Source organism: Homo sapiens, chromosome 5, assembly GCF_000001405.40.
Source record: "Homo sapiens chromosome 5, GRCh38.p14 Primary Assembly".
Taxonomy (NCBI): domain Eukaryota; kingdom Metazoa; phylum Chordata; class Mammalia; order Primates; family Hominidae; genus Homo; species Homo sapiens.
In genome coordinates this window covers 169,805,762-169,829,741 of record NC_000005.10, presented here as the reverse complement: position 1 = coordinate 169,829,741, position 23,980 = coordinate 169,805,762, and the positions used below count along the sequence as shown (strand labels likewise).

The 23,980-nt window shown below is 43.3% G+C and overlaps 1 protein-coding gene across 8 annotated transcripts in view, besides 1 other annotated feature; it reads right to left on the bottom strand.

Moving 5' to 3' along the window:
- The window catches only part of DOCK2 (dedicator of cytokinesis 2), a 446,108-nt gene that overhangs the window by 253,641 nt on the left and 168,487 nt on the right, over positions 1-23,980 (bottom strand). The gene's annotated exons all lie outside the window — the stretch shown is intronic.
- Positions 20,980-21,557: an enhancer, noted in NCBI's record as "OCT4-NANOG hESC enhancer chr5:169235189-169235766 (GRCh37/hg19 assembly coordinates)". NCBI's record gives its function as "activates a minimal SCP1, AML or CMV promoter by ChIP-STARR-seq in primed H9 embryonic stem cells {active_cell/tissue: H9 hESC(primed)}" and the evidence as "EXISTENCE:reporter gene assay evidence [ECO:0000049][PMID:30033119]".

Below are 23,980 nucleotides of genomic sequence, written 5' to 3'. Positions count from 1 at the left end.
AACTGCAAAACTGTTGAGTTGTAGTTGACTAGCTAATATACTGTTCATTTTCTAAATACTTAAGCAATTATTTCAATTTTGATACTTAATACTTTAATGTCAATTAACAAATATCCTGAGCCAATAAAGTCATAGGCCCTGGGTTCTGTACCTACACGGTCCTAACGTGTAAACTTTCAAAGCTTAAGTGAAAATTGAACTACATGAACAAATGGCCCTGCAGCAATCGTCTCAGGTAAGGTTTTCATTGCAGAAATGGGGGTACATGAGCTATTTGCAATATTTCAAAAAGCTTAACAGAAATTGTACACTCATTCATCTTCAGTATTACTGCATGGGCTAATGAAAACGCCAAGATTCCTTGTTTGAATGAGGACAAGATAAACTCTAAATAGGCAACCTGTTTAACTCTGTTGGTCAGAAAATTACTGAATGTTTAATGCATGCCGCTTTTTTGAGAGACAATGTATTTCAAAACATGCATCCATGGGCATAGGAATAAGAACAGGACTCCGTGGTGATGAAAATTTTTGCAACTATTTTTCCAGAAAGCCATCCTAGATATGGTTTCCACCCTTCCATTTCCCAGCTTCACAACAAGCTCCCTCCCTCCTCACATGACTTTCCTCCCTTTTCTCCCCCATCCAATCGCAAACTAGTGTTTCCTTTTATTTATGCCTCTGCATCATCATCAGCCCTGAATGAGAGCATTAAAATTCTGGACTATAATCTTCTCTGAGGTAGGGAGTCATAAAGTAATCCACTCGGAGCTGCCCCCTCTTACACTGTTAAACAAATAGATTGTGAATCATTGGTAAGTTACTTGAGGACAGGGATTAGGTCTGTGCCACTACTTTGGGCTCAACACCTAGCACAAGTACCTGTCACAAAATAAGTAATCGCCATGATTTTATTAAGCGGATTTAAGTTCGAATAGGAGATGTCACGTAACTGTTGCAGAGAGAAAGGAGAGATTCTCAGATGAGGCGTGGAGCTAGAATAGAGGATCTGGACGCTTCTGGGCACAGATTTCTTCAACTGTCCTGACAACACAGCTTGACCACATACAAAAGACTAAGGGGTTATTTGACAGGAAATGGGAGAAACCAAAAAATACATACAACGTTCTATCCTCCTTCCTACAGTGAAAATACCCTTAATCATCCCACCACCCTCCAGAGAGAGAACATAGACATCAGAAGCTCATTCAGTGATGACTAATACAGTTTCCTCAGCAGGGTTTCCCCAAATCAAAGGTCTACTATCCTCATTTTTCAAAATGGACTTCTCCCACAAATCCCTTCCAAGTCAGGCAGGCCCAAAACCAAGCTGGGAGGCCGATCTCATGAAACATACAGCAGCCTATGCCTCAGCCAGAATTCAGAGCCCACTCTCACTGACCGCTCTGCTTAGGGATTAATTCTACCAGAAACTTTAGAAAAACTACTAGCAAAGGGAGGTTTTAAAATCTCACCCTTGAACCTCTTTTCCTTTGCTAAGAAATGACAGAGGGAGTATGTCGATCTAAAATGCAACAGAATTGGCCAGAAAAGACCAGTAGATCTAAGGAGTGAATTTGTATCCTCTGATCTACGCATGCAGTTACACAGACATCAGGATTGCCTTTGTCAGTTCAGATTGGATACAGTAAAAACCCTCCCCAGAAACCTATCTGTATAAATAAAAAATAAGCAAGAGACAATGTGTGCCCTTCTCCATGGTGCTGGCAAAATCACTGCCTCCTAGGACAAGGGCATTTCTCCTCATCTTGGGAAATATGGACTCACTCACTCTCTCTGTCAACACCCACCCCCGCCAACAGAGTGTGTGCCTCGGTTTTAATGTTGAAAAACCATGTGTGTGTGTGTGTGTGTTTTTAATGTTTTCTAATTGTCACCAATGATTTCAACATTTTTAAAGTTCTATCACATTTCTAACACCATCATCCCCAGCTCTTTCTGGAAAGCTTAGGCTGTGTGCTCCCTTTTCCTCCACTAAATCTCCCAGATCCACCTATACAACTACAGTAAATTTGGGCGAGGGAGAACTCATTTATTTTCCTTGATTTATTCCGAATTCCGATCTATAGTTTCTGGTGGCTTTTCTGGATGGTAGAAAGATGGGCACCTCATTTTCCAGTTTCTGTAACACACTCAGTGCCCCCACCTTTAATCCATAGCCCTGATCCTTCCCCAACAAGCTGGTGAGCAGGAAAGCCATTTCTATGAATGCTCAGTCACTTTCCGTTCTCACCAGTGACAGCCTAGCTTAGCTGGTTATTATAACCAAGTCATCTTGAAGCAAATCTGTGCACGTATTCCTGGGAGCACATTAAGGTTTTCTTTCAGATAAGTATGCAGCATCTAGAAGCAGTCATCTGCTCCCAGGTTTCTGCAGCCTGAAGTGAACTGAGATCCTTGAGAAGCTGCCTAAACAGCAGGTTGCAGCTCCTCTCCAACCCCCTGCCCTACCAAAAAATGAGATGGCCAGGATAATATCTGTTATAGTCCAATACCTCAAGAAGCATTATCTAAGCATCTGCTTCAGTGGTCTATAACCATAGCTGCATTTTTAAAACAAGCGGGGGATTTTCCATATATATAAATATATTCATGCCCAGGTTCCACCCAAGACAAATTCTAAGTCTCTGGTGATGAGACTCAAGTATTGTTATTCTACAAAAGCTCTCTACATAAATTTCAATACGGAGTGGTACCGACTCACTACGTGCCACGCTCTGTCCTGGATTCTGAGGATTCAGAGACAGAAAATCTAGCCCCTGCTTTTAAGAGACCACAGTGTATTAGCAGCATAGGACTAGGGAAGAACCACATAGTAAAGGAAGGATCCTGACAGTGTTATTACAGGGAGCTGAGAAACCTCAGAAAAAAAGTCGTCACCCAATCTAGGAAAATGTGAGACGGTGTCCTGAGGGAGGTGCTGCAGAGCCAGCTGGGAGAAACATGCAACATAGTTCTTTGCAATGTAGTAAATAAGGCTTTATAATAACACTGCCTCTCCATATTAAGAGTGTAGCCTAATAATACATAACTAACTCTTATATATTCTTGCTGCCAACCCCTTTCCTTGAAACTGTATCAAGTCTCACTCGCAGTGAGTCAGACCAACCACTCTTGGATTCCTACCTTCTCCCTGGAATTCTGATTATGATCTTCCCACAATCATGATGGGTAACAGAATTCACCATACCTTTACCTTGGACTACAGGCATCTTCTTCAGAGAATTCAGTCCTTGGGGTCTGGAGAGGTTTCATTTCTCCCAGGCCCTACCCCAACCAGTCTTGGTCAGCTCGTCCCCCCCAGAGATGAGAGCCACCAGAGATGAGAGCATGTTTTTCTCTGTGTCTGAGATGTCCTTCTCCCTTTGATTATCTGCTAATATCCTGTTCACCAGGGAAAAACTGAGCCCAGTCATCATCTTTGGGAGCTCAACCACTCCAAACTTCCACCTTACCCCAGGCAAAGTTGCTTGTTCTTTTTGAGTACCCACAAAACTTTGTTCATATTTCTTTAGATCACACCTTTCCATTTTGAAAGTCCAAAGTATACCATCATGCTTGACACAGAGTAAGCACTAAGTACATGTATAAATACACAAAATGAACATGTCAGTGGAGGGATGGATGGATGGTTGGATGAAAGAATGAATGGATGGGTGAGTAACATTGTCTAAACTACTTTACATCTTATCACTTCAGAATTTGATGAAAAACAATAGATGTGCTACGTCATCTCTTCTCAAAAAACAAAGACGCTGGCAACTTCTTTACTTATTCCCCCTGTATGTACCATCTCCTCTCCTTTCTTCACTTTTCACCATATAACCAAGAGGGTGTAGTGTTGTGACTCGTCTTCCAGGAGAGATTTTTTTGTTTTGTTTTTTTCTTTTTTTTTTAATGTTATGCAAACGTTTCAATATTTTCTTTATATATATATATAGATATATTTTTTATTATACTTTAAGTTCTAGGGTACATGTGCACAACGTGCAGGTTTGTTACATATGTATACATGTGACATGTTGGTGTGCTGCACCTGTTAACTCATCATTTACATTAGGTATTTCTCCTAATGCTATCTCTCCCCCCTCCCCCCACCCCACAACAGGCCCCAGTGTGTGATGTTCCCCGCCCTGCGTCCAAGTGTTCTCATTGTTCAATTCCCACCTATGAATGAGAACATGCGGTGTTTGGTTTTTTGTCCTTGCGATAGTTTGCTCAGAATGATGGTTTCCAGCTTCATCCATGTCCCTACAAAGGACATGAACTCATCATTTTCTATGGCTGCATAGTATTCCACGGTGTATATGTGCCACATTTTCTTAATCCAGTCTATCACTGTTGGATATTTGGGTTGGTTCCAAGTCTTTGCTATTGTGAATAGTGCCACAATAAACATACATGTACATGTGTCTTTATAGCAGCATGATTTATAATCCTTTGGGTATATACCCAGTAATGGGATGGCTGGGTCAAATGGTATTTCTAGTTCTAGATCCCTGAGGAATCGCCAAAATGTCTTCCACAATGGTTGAACTAGTTTACAGTCCCACCAACAGTGTAAAAGTGTTCCTATTTCTCCACATCCTCCCCAGCACCTGTTGTTTCCTGACTTTTTAATGATCACCATTCTAACTGGTGTGAGATGGTATCTCATTGTGGTTTTGATTTGCATTTCTCTGATGGCCAGTGATGATGAGCATTTTTTCATGTGTTTTTTGGCTGCATAAATGTCTTCTTTTGAAAAGTATCTGTTCATATCCTTTGCCCACTTGTTGATGGGGTTGTTTTTTTCTTGTAAATTTGTTTGAGTTCTTTGTAGATTCTAGATATTAGCCCTTTGTCAGATGAGTAGATTGCAAAAATTTTCTCCCATTCTGTAGGTTGCCTGTTCATTCTGATGGTAGTTTCTTTTGCTGTGCAGAAGCTCTTTAGTTTATTTAGATTGCATTTGTCAATTTTGGCTTTCGTTGCCATTGCTTTTGGTGTTTTAGGCATGAAGTCTTCGCCCATGCCTATGTCCTGAATGGTATTGCCTAGGTTTTCTTCTAGGGTTTTTATGGTTTTAGGTCTAACATTTAAGTCTTCAAACCATCTTGAATTAATTTTTGTATAAGGTGTAAGGAAGGGATCCAGTTTCAGCTTTCTACATATGGCTAGCCAGTTTTCCCAGCACCATTTATTAAATAGGGAATCCTTTCCCCATTGCTTGTTTTTCTCAGGTTTGTCAAAGATCAGATAGTTGTAGATGTGTGGTATTATTTCTGAGGGCTCTGTTCTGTTCTATTGGTCTATATCTCTGTTTTGGTATCAGTACCATGCTGTTTTGGTTACTGTAGCCTTGTAGTATAGTTTGAAGTCAGGTAGCATGATGCCTCCAGCTTTCTTCTTTTGGCTTAGGAATATCTTGGAAATGCAGGCTCTTTTTTGTTTCCACATGAACTTTAAAGTAGTTTTTTTCCAATTCTGTGAAGAAAGTCATTGGTAGCTTGATGGGGATGGCATTGAATCTATAAATTACCTTGGGCAGTATGGCCATTTTCACGATATTGATTCTTCCTACCCATGAGCATGGAATGTTCTTCCATTTCTTTGTATCCTCTTTTATTTCATTGAGCAGTGGTTTGTAGTTCTCCTTGAAGAGGTCCTTCACATCCCTTGTAAGTTGGATTCCTAGGTATTTTATTCTCTTTGAAGCAATTATGAAAGAGAATTCACTCATGATTTGGCTCTCTGTTTGTCTGTTATTGGAGTATAAGAATGCTTGTGATTTTTGCACATTGATTTTGTATCCTGAGACTTTGCTGAAGTTGTTTATCAGCTTAAGGAGATTTTGGGCTGAGACAATGGGGTTTTCTAGATATACAATCATGTCATCTGCAAACAGGGACAATTTGACTTCCTCTTTTCCTAATTGAATACCCTTTATTTCTTTCTCCTGTCTGATTGCCCTGGCCAGAAATTCCAACACTATGTTGAATAGGAGTGGTGAGAGAGGGCGTCCCTGTCTTGTGCCAGTTTTCAAAGGGAATGCTTCTAGTTTTTGTCCATTCAGTATGATATTGGCTGTGGGTTTGTCATAAATAGCTCTCATTATTTTGAGGTACGTCCCATCAATACCTAATTTATTGAGAGTTTTTAGCAGGAAGGGCTGCTGAATTTTGTCAAAGGCCTTTTCTGCATCTATTGAGACAGTCATGTGGTTTTTGTCTTTGGTTCTGTTTATATGCTGGATTACATTTATTGACTTGCGTATATTGAACCAGCCTTGCATCCCAGGGATGAAGCCCACTTGATCACGGTGGATAAGCTTTTTGATGTGCTGCTGGATTCAGTTTGCCAGTATTTTATTGAGGATTTTTGCATTGATGTTCATCAGGGATATTGGTTTAAAATTTTCTTTTTTGGTTGTGTCTCTGCCAGGCTTTGGTACCAGGATGATGCTGACCTCGTAAAATGAGTTAGGGAGGATTCTCTCTTTTTCTATTGATTGGAATAGTTTCAGAAGGAATGGTATCAGCTCCTCCTTGTACCTCTGGTAGAATTTGGCTGTGACTCCGTCTGGTCCTGGACTTTTTTTGGCTGGTAAGCTATTGATTATTGCCTCAATTTCAGAGCCTGTTATTGGTCTATTCAGACATTCAACTTCTTCTTGGTTTAGTCTTGGGAGGGTGTATGTATGGAGGAATTTATCCATTTCTTCTAGATTTTCTAGTTTATTTGCATAGAGGTGGTTATAGTATTCTCTGATGGTAGTTTGAATTTCTGTGGGATCGGTGGTGATATCCCCTTTATCATTTTTTATTGTGTCTATTGGATTCTTCCCTCCTTTCCTCTTTATTAGTCTTGCTAGTGGTCTATCAATTTTGTTGATCTTTTCAAAAAACCAGCTCCTGGATTCGTTGATTTTTTGAAGGGTTTTTTTGTGTCTCTATCTCCTTCAGTTCTGCTCTGATCTTAGTTATTTCTTGCCTTCTGCTAGCTTTTGAATGTGTTTGTTCTTGCTTCTCTAGTTCTTTTAATTGTGATGTTAGGGTGTCAATTTTAGATCTTTCCTGCTTTCTCTTGTGGGCATTTAGTGCTATAATTTTCCCTCTACACACTGCTTTAAAGGTGTCCCAGAGATTCTGGCGTGTTGTGTCTTTGTTCTCGTTGGTTTCAAAGAACATCTTTATTTCTGCCTTCATTTCATTACGTACCCAGTAGTCATTCAGGAGCAGGTTGTTCAGTTTCCATGCAGTTGAGCGGTTTTGAGTAAGTTTCTTAATCCAGAGTTCTAGTTTGATTGCACTGTGGTCTGAGAGACAGTTTGTTATAATTGCTGTTCTTTTACATTTGTTGAGGAGTGCTTTACTTCCACCTATGTGGTCAATTTTGGAACAGGTGTGGTGTGGTGCTGAAAAGAATGTATATTCTGTTGATTTGGGGTGGAGAGTTCTGTAGATGTCTATTAGGTCTGCTTCGTGCAGAGCTGAGTTCAATTCCTGGATATCCTTGTTAACTTTCTGTCTGGTGGATCTGTCGAATATTGACAGTGGGGTGTTAAAGTCTCCCATTATTATTGTGTGGGAGTCTAAGTCTCTTTGTAGGTCTCTAAGGACTTGCTTTATGATCTGGGTGCTCCTGTATTGGGTGCATATATATTTAGGATAGTTAGCTCTTCTTATTGAATTGATCCCTTTACCATTATGTAATGGCTTTCTTTGTCTCTTTTGATCTTTATTGGCTTAAAGTCTGTTTTATCAGAGACTAGGATTGCAACCTCTGCCTTTTTTTGTTTTCCATTTGCTTGGTTGATCTTCCTCCATCCCTTTATTTTAAGCCTATGCGTGTCTCTGCACGTGAGATGGGTTTCCTGAATACAGCACACTGATGGGTCTTGACTCTTTATCCAATTTGCCAGTCTGTGTCTTTTAATTGGAGCATTTAGCCCATTTACATTTAAGGTTAATATTGTTATGTGTGAATTTAATCCTGTCATTATGATGTTAGCTGGTTTTTGCTCATTAGTTGACACAGTTTCTTCCTAGCATCGATGGGCTTTACAATTTGACATGTTTTTGCAGTGGCTGGTACTGGTTGTTCCTTTCCATGTTTAGTGCTTACTTCAGGAGCTCTTTTAGGGCAGGCCTGGCAGTGACAAAATCTCTTAGCATTTGCTTGTCTGTAAAGGATTTTATTTCTCCTTCACTTATGAAGCTTAGTTTGGCTGGATATGAAATTCTGGGTTGAAAATTCTTTTCTTTAAGAATGTTGAATATTGGCCCCCACTCTCTTCTGGCTTGTAGAGTTTCTGCCGAGAGATCAGCTGTTAGTCTGATGGGCTTCCCTTTGTGGGTAACCCGACCTTTCTCTCTGGCTGCCCTTAACATTTTTTTCCTTCATTTCAACTTTGGTGAATGTGACAATTATGTGTCTTGGAGTTGCTCTTCTCGAGGAGTATCTTTGTGGCGTTCTCTGTATTTCTGGAATTTGAGTGTTGGCCTGCCTTGCTAGGTTGGGGAAGTTCTCCTGGATAATATCCTGCAGAGTGTTTTCCAACTTGGTTTCATTCTCTACGTCACTTTCAGGTACACCAATCAGACGTAGATTTGGTCTTTTCACATAGTCCCATATTTCTTTGAAGGTTTGTTTGTTTCTTTTTATTCTTTTTTCTCTAAACTTCTCTGCTCGCTTCATTTCATTCATTTGATCTTCCATCACAGATACCCGTTCTTCCAGTTGATTGAATCGGCTACTGAAGCTTGTGCATTCGTCACGTAGTTCTCGTGCCGTGGTTTTCAGCTCCATCAGGTCCTTTAAGGACTTCTCTGCATTGGTTATTCTAGTTAGCCATTCATCTAATCTTTTTTCAAGGTTTTTAACTTCTTTGCCATTGGTTCGAACTTCCTCCTTTAGCTCAGAGTAGTTTGATCGTCTGAAGCCTTCTTCTCTCAGCTCGTCAAAGTCATTCTCTGTCCAGCTTTGTTCCTTTGCTGGTGAGGAGCTGCTTTCCTTTGGAGGAGAAGAGGTGCTCTGATTTTTAGAATTTTCAGTTTTTCTGCTCTGTTTTTTCCCCATCTTTGTGGTTTTATCTACCTTTGATCTTTGATGATGGTGACGTACAGATGGGGTTTTGATGTGGATGTCCATTCTGTTTGTTAGTTTTCCTTTTAACAGTCAGGACCCTCAGCTGCAGGTCTGTTGGAGTTTGCTGGAGGTCCACTCCAGACCTGTTTGCCTGGGTACCAGCAGCAGAGGCTGCAGAACAGTGAATATTGCTGAACAGCAAATGTTGCTGCCTGATCGTTCCTCTGGAAGTTTTGTCTCAGAGGGGTACCCAGCTGTGTGAGGTGTCAGTCTGCCCCTACTGGGGGGTGCCTCCCAGTTAGGCTACTTGGGGGTCAGGGACCCACTTGAGGAGGCAGTCTGTCCATTCTCAGATCTCAAACTCCATGCTGGGAGAACCACTACTCTCTTCAAAGCTGTCAGACAGGGACACTTAAGTCTGCAGAGGTTTCTGCTGCCTTTTGTTCGGCTATGCCTTGCCCCCAGAGGTGCAGTCTACAGAGGCATGCAGGCCTCCTTGAGCTGCGTTGGGCTCCACCCAGTTTGAGCTTCCTGGCTGCTTTGTTTACCTACTCAAGCCTCAGCTATGGCGGGCGCCCCTCCACCAGTCTCGCTGTTGCCTTGCAGTTCGATCTCAGACTGCTGTGCTAGCAACGAGCGAGGCTCCATGGGCATGGGACCCTCCAAGCCAGGCACGGGATATAGTCTCCTGGTGTGCCGTTTGCTAAGAGCATTGGAAAAGTGCAGTATTAGGGTGGGAGTGACCTGATTTTCCAGGTGCCTTCTGTCACAGCTTTACTTGGCTAGGAAAGGGAATTCCCTGACCCCTTGCGTTTCCTGGATGAGGTGATGCCTCACCCCGCCTCAGCGCACGCTCGGTGTGCTGCCCCCACTGTCCTGCACTCACTGTCCGACAAGTCCCAGTGAGATGAACCCGGTACCTCAGTTGGAAAGGCAGAAATCACCCGTCTTCTGTGTCGCTCACGCTGGGAGATGTAGACTGGAGCTGTTCCTATTCGGCTATCTTGGAACCCAATCTGTTTTGTTTTTTTCGAGACAGGGTCTTGCTCTGTCACCCAGGCTGGAGTGCAGTGGTGTGATCACAGCTCACTGCATCCACTAGCTTCTGGGCCCCAGTGATCCTCCCACCTCAGCTTCCTGAGTAGCCGGGACTACAGGTGCATGCTACCATGACCAGCTAATTTTTTAATTTTTTGTAGGTGTAGGGTCTTGCCATGTTTCTCAGACCAGCTTCAACCTCCTCAGCTCAAGCAATCCCCTAGCTTTGGCTTCCCAAAGTGCTGGTATTAAAGGCGTGAGCCACTCTGGCCAGCAAAGGAAAGTTTTGTTGTTGTTGTTGTTTGAGATGGAGTTTTGCTCTTGTTGCCCAGGCTGGAGTGCAATGGCGTGATCTTGGCTCACTACAACCTCTGCCTCCCAGGTTCAAGTGATTCTCCTTCCTCAACGTCCTGAGTAGCTGGGAGTACAGGCATGAGCCAACGGGCCTGGCCAAGGGTAGTTTTTAAGCAGATAAATAATTGGTCTCCTGCGGGTATTTCTGGAAAGGTTAACTACACTTACCTTCACTGAATCATGTCATTCCTTGTCCCCAGATATAAAAGCGAAGGCATTTCTACTAATACATTTGACGACTGTATTAGGTGTGGGAAGTCTCTGTTTTTACGTACCCTTTGATGAAGTATAAGCAAAAAGTTTATATTTGGACAAATATAAAGTATGCATGAATAATTAAGATGAAACATAAGACTGAATTCAAATAAATTCAACCTTTGGACTCTGCCCCCCAGAACATTGAGCATTTATATTCACTCACCTGAAATTATTAATATTTATGTGGAAAAGCCTGGAAATAACTGAAATCTCTCATTGCTGTCTCAAAGATATGTTTGCGTGACCTATCTCAGGTCACACAGTCTGTTAGAATTAGAGCTGGAAATAGAACCCAACACTTCCCAAAAGCTGCGGAAAGGCCCTGGCATCAAATATTGCCTTCTCTGTCACCACCAGAGAAGGCTAAAAAGAGACATCATTAATTAATTAATCAGATGCTTTTGAGGGATTAAGGCAGTAAGGAAGGAAAGAAAAAACATTTTGGTATTAACCACATACTCAGCAACTTGGTTTTATGAATTAACAAAACATGGAGAGATAAGCTGAGGCTCAGAGAGGCCCCAGTACCACCCGGCTAGTTAGTGATGGCATTGGAATTCAAATCCATGCCTATGTGTCTCCAAAGTCCATCATCTTTCAACTAGAATTTAACTCAATCCAAATCAACAAATACTTATTGACTGCTCAATAAATGTGCTGGGCACTGTGCTAGGATATGGCAGTGAACAAGACCGATACGGCCTTTGTGCTCATAGGGGTTACTATCCAGATGAGAAAACAGACATCGTAAAGCTGGGCACAGTGTGGTGATTGTCAGGTAAGGTGAAGTGCATATAACCTCCACACTCTTCAGGCAATGAGAAGTACATGTGAGCTCTAATCTCTGCCCCAGAGTTCAAAACATTATGGGTTACGCATGTTCACGTAGGCTGGCCTTGGGGTGTGACCAACCCCAAGGCATTATTTCTGTGGGAAAATGCAGGCTGAATTCTAAACTGATGTATAAACAACTTTGGGAGCCCAGCAGTACTCAAAGTTGGTACCTGCTTTTTATGCGATGTTTTAATGCAAAAGCAGAAGATTTACCTTTCTCACTGGATTCCACTGAGTATAAAAAATAAAATTAGTGTCAGCATGTATTTCTTGAAAGTAGACTAATTGAAGATGGGAGGATCAGTCAAACCACGGACATTAATTATTGAGTATCTGCTCGGAGTTCGGCACTATGCCCAGGCAGTGTGGAAATACGGGAGAAACGTAAGACTGGATCAGCCCTGTCCTTGGAGAGTCTGTAAATAACAAACAGGACACCCACAGAAGAGCACTTTCTGTAAATGATGGCCTATGTCAAATTTCCAAGAGACAGGGGTGGACACATGTCTGTGAAACAGACAAGGCAAGGCAAATATAAGGGAAATTGACCCAGGCTTCAAAAGACAAATATGATTTAACTATTCAAAGAAAGTTTATTGTAGCAGTGGGAGGAGTGTTAACCAGGGAGTGAGGCTTAGGAAGGACTAGATGTGTTCTGAAATAATGAATAGACCACTGAGGCCAAGTGCTGGGAAATAAGGTCCGAAGTTAGTTTCTAATAAGAGAGGAGCTTGTCTTCAACACCTTTGCATCCCAAAGGCCTAGCATGGTACCTGACAAATCATAGGTGCTTAGCTAATGTTTAGTGAGCTGTTGGATAGAAAGATATTACTTCAGTTGAAAAGAGAAATAACAAAAAGTGTTAGGCTTGTCTCAACATGTGCCAGAAAGGCCTACCATGACAAGAGCAAATGTCAAGCTGCATATAATTAAGTGCTAAATTCTACAATAAAGCCAAAAGTTTTCAGAATGCAGAAGAGGTGGTGAGTGAGACGGAGCTAAAAGAACCTGGGGTGATTTCTTAATCGAGGAAGAATTGGGCCTATTAGGAAAGGCAGGGTCTGGCTCTCAGAGGTCACAATTCAGATGTCTACATAGGCAGGATGGATAATATAAAAGTGTGAACCCAGTCATCTAGAAAGCAATAGGAACGAGTGGGACTGTGGGTTTTAGGAAATAATTCTGCAAGCCAAACACAATACATCTGTGGGCTAGATTCAGGTTGTAAACCACCAGTTGGAGGCTTTCAGGACAGACAGAAGGGAGAAAAACAGGGTGACTATAGTCAATAATTTAATTGTCACATTTAACATAACTAAAAGAATATAACCGCATTGACTGTAACACAAAGGATGGTTGCTTGAGGACATGGATACCCCATTTTCCATGCTGTGATTACGCAGTCCATGCCTGTATCAAAACATCTCACGTACCCCATAAATACATACACCTACTATGTACCTACAAAAATTAAAAATTAAAAAAAAGAAAAGGAGGGAAAAAAGAATCCCTTCCAGAGTGAAGGAATAGGGTAAATGACAAAGAAAGAAGAAAGAGCATGAAGGTTTGGTGGGAGAGTGAGAGTCTGGCTGTGCTAGAATGTAAACTGCAGGCAGAAAACAGTTGGAAATGTGGTTGGAGAGGAAAATTAAGCTGAGTTTGGATTTCAGGCCAAAGGCAAGGTAATAAATAGAGGGCAAAGATGACTTTAGCATGCTAGGTTGCTTGCAGAAACTGTGCTGAAATTAAACTTTATTTTCCAACCCAGACTGTTAAACCAATTGTGTTTATCTCTAAGACAAAACTGATCTGAAAACCTCCCTGAGAAAATGTCCATTCTAGAACTCTTAGATCATTTGCTGGAAGCTTCCTTGCTGCAGTCTTTGGCTGCTGCCCCTCAGATTGTACATGGCAGGTGAGGCACCACAGACAGCTGCTGATCAAATGCATCCTTAAAAACAGGGCGCCTCCTCCCTCACTTAACTCATTTCACTTAAGGATTTACATTTATACCAGGAGAGCAAATCAAAGTTATAGTTCCCTCAGCAACTGTAACCTGGACCAAACATAGCTATATTTATCTGCTGCTGAGAGGGCTTTTAACTCATGTCTCCCAACTTCGAAGGGGAGATTTAATTCAAACACTATGCAAGAAATGCTTTTTGGAAACCAAGTGGCTGCCCCAGTGAAGGTTTAGAGTGTAAATGGCTGTTCCTTTCAACTAGTGCTTTTATGCAAGGGTTCCCAGCAGACAGAAATCTTCCGCAGCCCCTCTACAGTCTTGGAGGGTGAATAGAAGGGTACCTTCTCCATTCCTCCAAGCCGCCACGCCATTTATGGGTCAGAGCCCAGCTTTGTTACTGCAGGCAGCCAGTGTTGATAAGAGGACTGTGCAGGGGCCAGGACTAGGGGGAAGGAGTGATACAAGTTAGACACTAACCTAGGGGGCAAAATTGAAGGGGGTCCCAAAAAACTCAGTAATCAAGAAAATTAACACTTAATGCAATTTTTTTGTTTAAAAAATTAATGCAAAAACTCATGGTAAACAAAATAACAAAATACTGAGTTTTTAAAATGTCATGTGAAAGTATTATTTGATTTGATTACTGAATTTTTGGTGCCCCATTACATTCTGCCCTTCCTCCCAGGCCATGCCTCACCTCATCCTGGCTCTGAGAGGCAGTGAAGAAGGGTATGAGATTGAGGATAGGAAGGAGGGAGTGTGTGAGGCCATCGTGCATTTGGCTGTAGGCAAACTTCTTTAAACTTTGGTAATGGCAGATAATGCAATATTAAAGAATACCTTAAGAAGTATTTCTAGCTGATGCTGATGGAACAGAACCTGGTGGATCATTAACTTTACTAGGGGGAGGTCTAGTCAACTGTGAGCAAAAGCTGTCTTCTTATTTTCCAGATGGATTCCCCAAGAATACACAACCCAAAGACCATCCCTAAGCAATGCCAAACCAACCATTTTCCATGCCCGCCAGGCAAAGATCAGGTGACACTCAAGTCCTATACCCTGGCCTAGGACTTACCACATGGCTAGGGATGTCAAATAGCCCACGTGAAATACTATAGGCTGCAAGGTCCCTGAGAACAGGACAGGCTCCTATGCTCCTCCATGTTCCACCTCCCCAGAGCCTAGTCCTGGGTTATGGCATGCTAAATGTTGGTTTAGTCATGCAATTACCTAATTATTCATTTGGTAGGAGGTTACATTGGCCTTCTGATTGGTTGAGACAGTTAGGAATTTTGCAAATGGAACCTTCTAGTAAGGCTAGTCCTTTCTGGATTTTTTTGTCTTAACTCATAAATCAGAAAAACCTGTATCTATCAGGTTTTTACACTAATTTCTATGTGTAATTTCCCTTCACATAGAAATAAGTATACTTGACAGAACTGTTCACCTTCAACCCTCATTCTTCATAAGTGAGTAATCATCCCTTAAATACTTCAAAAATAAGCTTCTTAAAAACATTTTAAATTTTGAAATAATGTTGAATTCCTAGCGAGTTGCATAGATGGTACAGAGAGTTCCTATGCACCCTTCACCCAGCACTGGTTAATGTTAACCTCTTACATTACCAGAGTAGAATAATCAAACCAGGAAATTCACATTGGTCCAATGCTATTAACTACACTGTAACCTTTATTCTAATTTTGCCAGTTTTCCTTCTAACATCCATTTTCTCGTCCATGATTCAATTCAGGATCCCACATTGAATCCAGTTGTCACATTTCCAAATCTGTGAGAGTGCCACAGTCTTTCATGACCTTAACTGTTGAAGAGGACTAGACTGGTATTTTTCAATCCTCAGTTAGGGTTTGTCTAATGTCTTCTCATCATCAGATCGAGGCTGTACATTTTTGGTAAGATTCCCATAGAAGAGATGTAGAGTCCTTCTCAGTGCATCGTGTCAGGAGGCACATGACGTCAGTATGTTTCCCTGCTGGTGGTTTCCCTTTGCTCATTTGGTTAGGATAAGGTCTATCAGTTGTCTCCACTGTAAAGCTACTGCTTTCCCTGTGCCATTAATCAGTGGATACTTTGGGAAGACACTTTGAGATTATGCAAATATCCTGTTTCCTATCAGATTTTTGTCCATGACTTTTAGTAACCATCGATGGTTCTTCCTTGTAACAATAAATCTGGTGGTGTTTGTCAAATCAAAAATCAACTTTTCCTAATTTTTATGTCCTACTTAAGGCCAAAACCTACCAGGTGAAAGACGACAATCTCCCTGTCACAGTGACCTTCCCCACATTTTGGGATTGGCCATCTAGTTTAAGCATAGCAAATCCATGGTACCCAACTCATTGTCCCCACCCCTCACCTACTGCAGGAACCAAGGCTGTCTTTCTCACTGCCCTGCAGGAGACCTCGACATTCTCAATGCTATTAGGAAAGAAGCCACAGCAGATCAATGAGAACTATCATGAGAAATGAAACATATCTCCCCTCCTTGGTCTATGTTGGGTGTTTAGTTTTTCTTAAAAACACTACATCCCTGGAGCATACTGGCTTTGCCAAGTCCCTTGAGAACCCTTAAAGGGTGGCAGATTTAGGGTCCACTAGGGGAAGAGAATTGCACAGGCATCTCCCTTGGGTCTCTGGATTTTTCTTGTTTGGGGCCATTGTTTTGAGTCCCTGGCAGGGGTGTGCTGGTAGATGTTTGTCCATTGTTTTTCCAGAAAGAAAAAAATAAAGTCCTGGATATATGCAACGTTTTCCAATTTCTGTGGCATTAACACCCCCTTTCTGGTTGATTTCAAGGCACAGCAGCAGAGCTGGAGACAGTATTTCCACCACACAGACACAATAGATGTAAATAACCTCAAGAGGGTAGATAAAAATAAAATGGAGCCAGCTCATCGGGAAGTTTTTGAGTTTTGAGATCTTATTACCTTAGATTTTAATATAGTTTATTTAATTATAGATTTATAACAATTTTTGATGATAACGGTTATTTAACAATTGCCTCACAAAATTCCTAAACATTTAATACTCGGTTCTTGTGAGCTGGAAAGAGCCAGCTCCAGCTCACTGCCCTGTACAGTGGTGATCAGGAGCCCTGAAGTTCTGGAATTCCCCGCAGGAGCCCCTGAAAGGACAGGAAGACACCTTTCTCCAGTCGCTCCAGGAATTCCTATGAGGTCCAGATGCCCTGCAGGGAAGGCCTGCCTCCAGCAGCAGCATCTGCCGCTTCCCGGCAAGCCTTCTGTGGAGACTGCGAGGGCTCCAAACCATCTGGCTGCCACCAGGGCTGGCTTGGGGGTTGCCCTCAATACTAATGGGGCTACAGAGTTCTCTCCAGGCTCAGTGCCTGCCTTGCATTCTCCCAGGAAGCCACTTTACCCTGTACTGTCCTTAAAAGAATTATAGGGATGTTTTAGAAGCAGCCTGGAACAGCAGAAAGAGCATATGAGTGAATCGGAACAGTGAGGGAAGAAGGAAAGCCACGTGCATAGAGTGCAGATTATTTGCCAGGCATAAGGCTGGATGTTTTCACAGGTGTTCTTGTTTACTGTAATTCTGACACACCTGGGAAAAGAGTATCCTCATCATACAGACAGGTTAGAGCAGCCATCCCTAGCCTTTTTGGCACCAGGGACCAGTTTCATGGAAGACAATTTTTTCACAAAACGGATGGTGGGGCAGGTGGTTTTTGGATAATTCAAGTGCATTACATTTACCGTGCACTTTATTTCTATTATTATATTACCTTGTAATACATAATGAAATAATTACACAACTCAACATAATGTGGAATCAGTGGGAGCCCTGAGCTTGTATTCCTGCAACTAGACAGTCCCGTCTCAGGGGGATAGGAGACAGTGACAGATCATTAGGCATTAGATTCTCATAAGGAGCATGCACCCTAGACTCCTCTCATGTGCAGTTCACAATAGGGTTCGCGTTCCTATGAGAATTTAATGCCGTCGCTGATCTGAAGGAGGCGGAGCTCAGGCAGTAATGCAAGCCATGCGGAGTGACTGTAAATACAGATGAAGTTTTACTCGCTCTCCAGCTGCTCACCTCCTGCTGTGAAGCCTGGTTCCTAACAGGCCATGGACCCAGGGTTGAGGACCCATTCTGGGGTTGGGAAGTTAGATGACTTCTCAATGTCCCACAGCTAATAACAGCAGAGCTAGAATTTATCCCCTGCTCTGCTCACAGCCGTAGCCCCAGCATACAGAATAGAGCACATGTTAGGCAATTTCTAAATATTTGTGGAATGGATACAAGATGCAGTCTGACTTAAAGCCTGTAGAGGCTCCTCCAGGGAAATGGTGCAGGTGAAAGTGCTGTTAACTGGCGATGTGTAGATGCAGAGTGGGGGGAGGTAACGTGGTGCCTGAGAGGCTGTTGAGTTGGGAATGTCACCTAGCCTCTCTGAGACTCAGCCTCCTCGCCAGTTAAATGGGGATAGTAAGATCTACCTTGCCACTTTGGCACCAGAAACAAACAACTGTGTCGTATAAGAACACACACTGCCAGTTAGAAGGTGCTGGGGAAGTGTGTGGTATACAGTCATCCATAGAAGTTGTGCCATTGGCCTCAGGAGGGCATTTCTAACTCCACGGAAGCCAGAGGAAAAGCAAGGGGTGAAAACAAAGCAGCCTTGGTCACAGCAGAAGGTGCAGTGATCTCATGTATTTCAACCTCAGGTTTGGGGCTTAATTAGCTGCTCTCTGGCATGCACCATAGACAAAAGAATTTCAGCAAGCCTTGTCTCCCTGCCTTTTATTTCAAATATGAGGGAGCAGATAGGTTAGAAGAAAACCCTGCTGCTCTTGCAGGGTGGTATTGATTCCTGGGAATTAAACAGTAATGCAAAGAGGCAGTGGCAGCCTCCCTTCCACCCTGCAGCAGGCAAACTGCCTAGGTTTATCAGAGAACCCAGAGCTCAGAGTGGCCACAGGGGATGCACTTCAGAAGAAGGCGCCCAAGCGTAGACAGGCAGGGTGGACTGCTTTCCCACACGCAGGTCAGGGGCAGGACTCCACCAAGAATGCCCTCTAGTCTGGAGGATTCATGCTCATGCCGCAGTCCCCTCCCCTCCCATCGGGATTCTAACACAGCTAAGATGCTAATGCCCTTTGCTGTCCATATCTGATCCTCTTCAAAGGAGAGGCATGAGTGTGTGTGTGTGTGTGTGTGTGTGTGTGTGTGTGAGAGAGAGAGAGAGAGAGTCTGTGTGTGTGTGTGTAAACATACATGCACCCAAAACCACACGTGCATATTCAACGCATTAGACAAATCATTCATGGGGGGTGGGGGGCATGTGGAATGGGAGTAGAAGACGGGGATAAAGGGTAAGAAATTGTTCAATAAAATCATAGGAGTCCATTGTTTTGGACTGAGCTCCTGCACTAGGCCCAGATCAAACCAAGATGGAGTCGCTTGCGCTAAGTGCGACATACTAAAATGGGAACTTTAAGGAAGCAGGAAAATCCCCCAAAGAGACCAGTCTTTCTTAAAAACAGAAGGTTCACAGCAACCAGTTGGAAAGGGCATGGTCATTTGAGCTGGCATGATAAGGAAGTCCCCCTGCTTTAACTCTTACAAGGAAAGTAACCTGAAGTAACCTGATGTTAACCAACCCACCTTTTTGTATCATCCCATTTCCTTTTTCCTACTCAAGCTACCTTACAATAACCAACTGCTTTGCTGCGCCCAAGAGAGCTCCTTCTGTCTTTTAGATACGAATGCCTGACTCATGAATCACTAGTAAGAGTCAATTAGAACACTAAAATCAATTTGATACAATTTTGTTTTATGACAAAATGCACACGCATATACACACACAGAACAGGGGAGGATCTTGCACAGACCAATGAAGATGATGTGTTATGAACTCAGGAGTGTGATTAATTCAACCCTCTGCACCTGACATCTAAAGAAGGCAAAAAGAAGAATACCCTGCTAGCACTCAGCGCACAAGAAAAGAAGGCAAAAAGAAGAATACCCTGCTAGCACTCAGCGCACAAGACCCCAGGGAGAAATCAGGCCCTGCCATTAATTGGAGCGAGACATATTCATTCATTTATTCCTTCCTTCAGATAGCTTCAAGAGCCAGGCATTGTGCTGGGGTGGGCGGGGGGTAGAGCAGCAAGATCTCTCTCCTCATAGCACTCTGGTTTCTGCAGGCAGACAGAAAAGTCCACAGAGGGTGACAACACAGGTGCCACAATGGAGCAAGCACAAGCTGCTCCTTGGACCACAAGAGACATGGAGAAGAGGATTAGAGAAGGCTTCTCAGGAGAGTCACATTTAACCTGATTTCTGAGGGGAAGGTAGGATTTAGCTAGGCTAAGAGCAGAGGTGATGCATTCAGGCAGTGTGAACGGCACTCCGCCGCAGTGAGAAGTGAGAGGGTGCTGCACAAGTGAGGAACTGAAAGGATTTTAATGGAACCAGAGAATAGACAGTTCAAGTGGGATGGGAGAGACTGAAGCTGAAAGCGTAAACTCTGCGAAGTCAGTGTGGAAGCTCAGGTTTGAGACCTGCTCTACACCTGTGGCTCAGGGAAGCTCCCTGAGCTTCCACACTCAAAGCCTCCTGTTACACAGGAGAGAGTAACACAAAATGACTGGCGCTGGGATATCAGGGTGCACACATGGTTCTGAAAACACAGACAAGGAAGTCCCTAATTCTGCCTGGGGGCAGAGCGGAGGAGAAGGAAGTGGGAATGGAATTGAGAAAATCTCAGAAAGGAAGTGTTATCTGAGCTGAACTCCAAACGAGTTTAGGATTCTACCTGCAGAGAAAGATGAGAAATTGGAAGAGCATTCCAAGCAAGAGACACTGCACTAAGCAAAAGCAAAAGCCTCCCAACTGATGTCTAAGTTGTGAACAAAAACATCAAAACCTGGCCGGGCGCAGTGGCTCATGCCTGTAATCCCAGCACTTTGGGAGGTGGAGGTGGGCAGATCACTTAAGGTCAGGAGTTCGGGACCAGCCTGGCCAACATGGTAAAATGCCGTCTCTACTAAAAATACAAAAATTAGCTGGGAGCAGTGGCTGGCACCTGTAATCTCAGCTACTCAGCCAGCTGAGGCACAAGAATTGCTTGAGCCAGGAGGTGGAGGTTGCAGTCAGCTGAGATTGCGCCACTGCACTCCAGCCTGGGCAACAGAGTGAGACCTTATCTCAAAGAAAAAAAAAAAATCAGAACCCTTAAACCATTCATGACTGAGAGTACCTTGGTAGCCCCCCACCCAGGTTTAGCCAATAGACTCAAATACTTTTTTAAAAAAAGATGATTCTGAGAATTCCTTATGTCCACGATTCAGATGCAGCCAACACCTTTTCTTCTTGAGAATTAGGAGTCATCTTTACCCACTTTAAGACTGCTAAGCAGAGTAGCAAACAACGACTCTCCTTTTTCTTGAGGAATGAAACATAAAAACAAAAACCCTGTCTTAAGAGGGGAAAAACCAACTCTCTCTGGGTCTGGAGCAATATTAAATTTTATCAGTTACTCGGCAGCCAGCAAAGCACAGAACGAAGCAGTGTGAAACCGCCCTTCAAAGTAACTGGAGTTGACAACTAAACTTGCTCAGTGAGGGGGGAGAAAAGGAGTTAATAGAGGAAGAAGTCAGGCCTTTTATCCTTCACCTGAGCTGGTCCCTTTCATATGCTAAGAGACCAGGAGCAAGCTGGGTGAGGGAATTCAACACTATGATTAAAAAAAAATCAACAGCCAGGCTAAGGCAGACATCTCCCCCTGAGTCCTACCATGACACCCAGGGTTTCAAAGAATAAGGTTGGCTTGCTGCTCTGGGCTGTAATTACCCAAACAATGACAATCTATTGAAGACAAGCATCCTGTCCCATTCCCCAAACACACAGCGCCCCCCAAATGGAAGCTTGGCATCCTGCACTGTAATTGCTAAATTTCCACACGTGGTTCTACCCTGGGCAATGCCTCCAGTAGGTGGACATAGTCTCTATTCTTGGATGTTCCATGGAACATCAATGGGTTGTTCCATGATGCCAACTAAAAGCCAGTAAAAATGGCTATGCTCTTGTCAGCAGAGAAGGTCCAAACAACCAGGAGAAAAATCCAGAACATTTGCTCTGGGGGCCTTTTTTATTAGTTTTCATCTAAGTGTTCAATTTTGAGAAGTTGGTGCCTGTAGAAAGCAAACAGCACATTCTACAGTCTGGATTTTCAAAGTTGGATCTTTGCATATTCCATGTCCCTTCTATCCCATGAAGATGAATTCATGAGTACAAATTAATGTGTTTGAAATATTTGCCATTTTGTGGTTTATTAAATGCATATTGGAAGATGCTAGATTTTTTTTTTTTTTTTTTTTTTTTTTGAGACAGAGTCTTGCTCTGTCTCCCAGGCTGGATTGCAGTGCCATGATCTCGGCTCACTGCAAGCTCCACCTCCCAGATTCACGCCATTCTCCTGCCTCAGCCTCCAGAGTAGCTGGGACTACAGGCGCCCACCACCACGCCCAGCTAATTTTTTGTATTTTTTTAGTAGAGACGGGGTTTCACCGTATTAGCCAGGATGGTCTCGATCTCCTGACCTCGTGATCCGCCCGCCTCGGCCTCCCAAAGTGCTGGGATTACAGGCGTGAGCCACATGCACCCAGCCGGAAGATGCTAGATTTTATAGACTGGACAGGGTTCTTAAATTAAGAAGGTAAAGAACTGAGAATGAGCCCAGCTATTCCTCTATTTCCAGTGAATACTAAAGGAAAAAAAAAGACAGGTCATATTAGAGCAATGGTTTCTGAGCATGGCCTCTACATTGGTAGCATCAACAGCACCTGGGAACTTGCTAGAAAAATAAGTTACTGGACGCCAGGACCCCACCGTCCAGACTAATGATCAGAAACGTGTTTTAACAGCTCCTCCAGGTTACTGGGGGTGCCTGCTCAGGTTTGAGACCTGCTCAACACCTGTGGCTCTTCATGCTGGCTGACAGTTAGCATCACCTGGTAATCATCACCTTTTCATTGCAGTGCCCCACCCACCCCAGACCAATTCAGTCAGAATACTTGGGACAGGGGCCTAGGTATTACTGCTTTTGATGCAAGATTTTTCTTCTCAGTCGCTTTGCAAGCCGGGGACCCCCAGCCAGTGACGCCCTGCCCAGGTCTCACTCAGCCCATCCAGCTCACCAACTATGTTATAGCTTGTACCCATATTCAGCGGTTCCGGATCTCTTGTGCCGCACCCAAGAAGAATGAGGATACGTGGGGCATTGAAGGGTGAGGAGGGCGGAGAATAATTTTCTTGAGCAGTGAAAACGGCTTTCAGTGGGGGGGCGGGGGGATGGTGGGGGGTGGAGGTGGGGCACTGGTTCCCCTACCCCAAGATTGGAAAGTTGTCCCCTCCCCGTCCCTCCCCACACCTTGTGTGACTGGGTCTGGGGCCTTTTATAGACTCAGAATGGGGACTGCCGATTTGTTTGTTAGTACGCAAAAAAAGGTTAAAGGGAAGACACCACTCAAAGGTGGGCATGACAGTGTAGAAAACCAATTAGGAAAAGGTAAGTTTATGTAAAATAAGCGAAGGGTGGGGATCAATCAGAGGAAAGTGTGCCAAATGGTAGGACAAGTTCTCAATCCAGTCTGAGGATTTAACATACAGCTTGACTTTCAGGTTTTAAACTCTTCGGCTTGGAGATGGGGTTTCACCGGGGACCCACCCCATCTTCCTACCCATTTGGCTGACTCCTGCTAGTTTGACTTTTAAAAAGCTCCCCGGGTGGCTTGTAATCCCAGCACTTTGGGAGGCCAAGGCAGGAGGATCACTTGAGGCCAGGGGTTTGAGACCAGCCTGGGCAATATAGTGAAACCCCATCTCTACAAATTAATTAATTAATTAACTAATTAACCAAGTGTGGTGGCTGGTACCTATAGTTGTATCTACTCAGGAGGCAGAAGCAGAAACCTGGCTCAAAAAAAAAAAAAAAAAAACTCTCGAGGTGATATGACTATGCAGGCAATGAGGCAATGTTGAGAGCCGCTATATATTAGAACATGAGAAATTTAGGTACTTTTGGGCCTCTCATTTTCAGTTTAGCTCAAAGTAATCATGGCTACTGAATGCCTCCTATTCATTGAAGAAGCTTTTGAGAAAAGAAGAGAGATTTCCATCTTCATGAGCAGGAGAGGTGAGATGTGAAGCTCACCAAAAGCATCAAAATTTCTACCAAATTCAATGGTGATAACAGTATTTAATAACTCATCCAGCAAAGACAGTTGCTCACCCGGAGAAAGGGGTGGGTTAGTCCCCACAGTCAGAATTCATTATAAGAGCACTGCACTCAGAGGCGGTAAAGAGTGACACGCACCTCCCACACACCTCAAGTCCAGATGCCACAATCCCCCACGGGGAGCTCAGAGCCTCCCACTCACTTCTTGGCTTTGAAGCC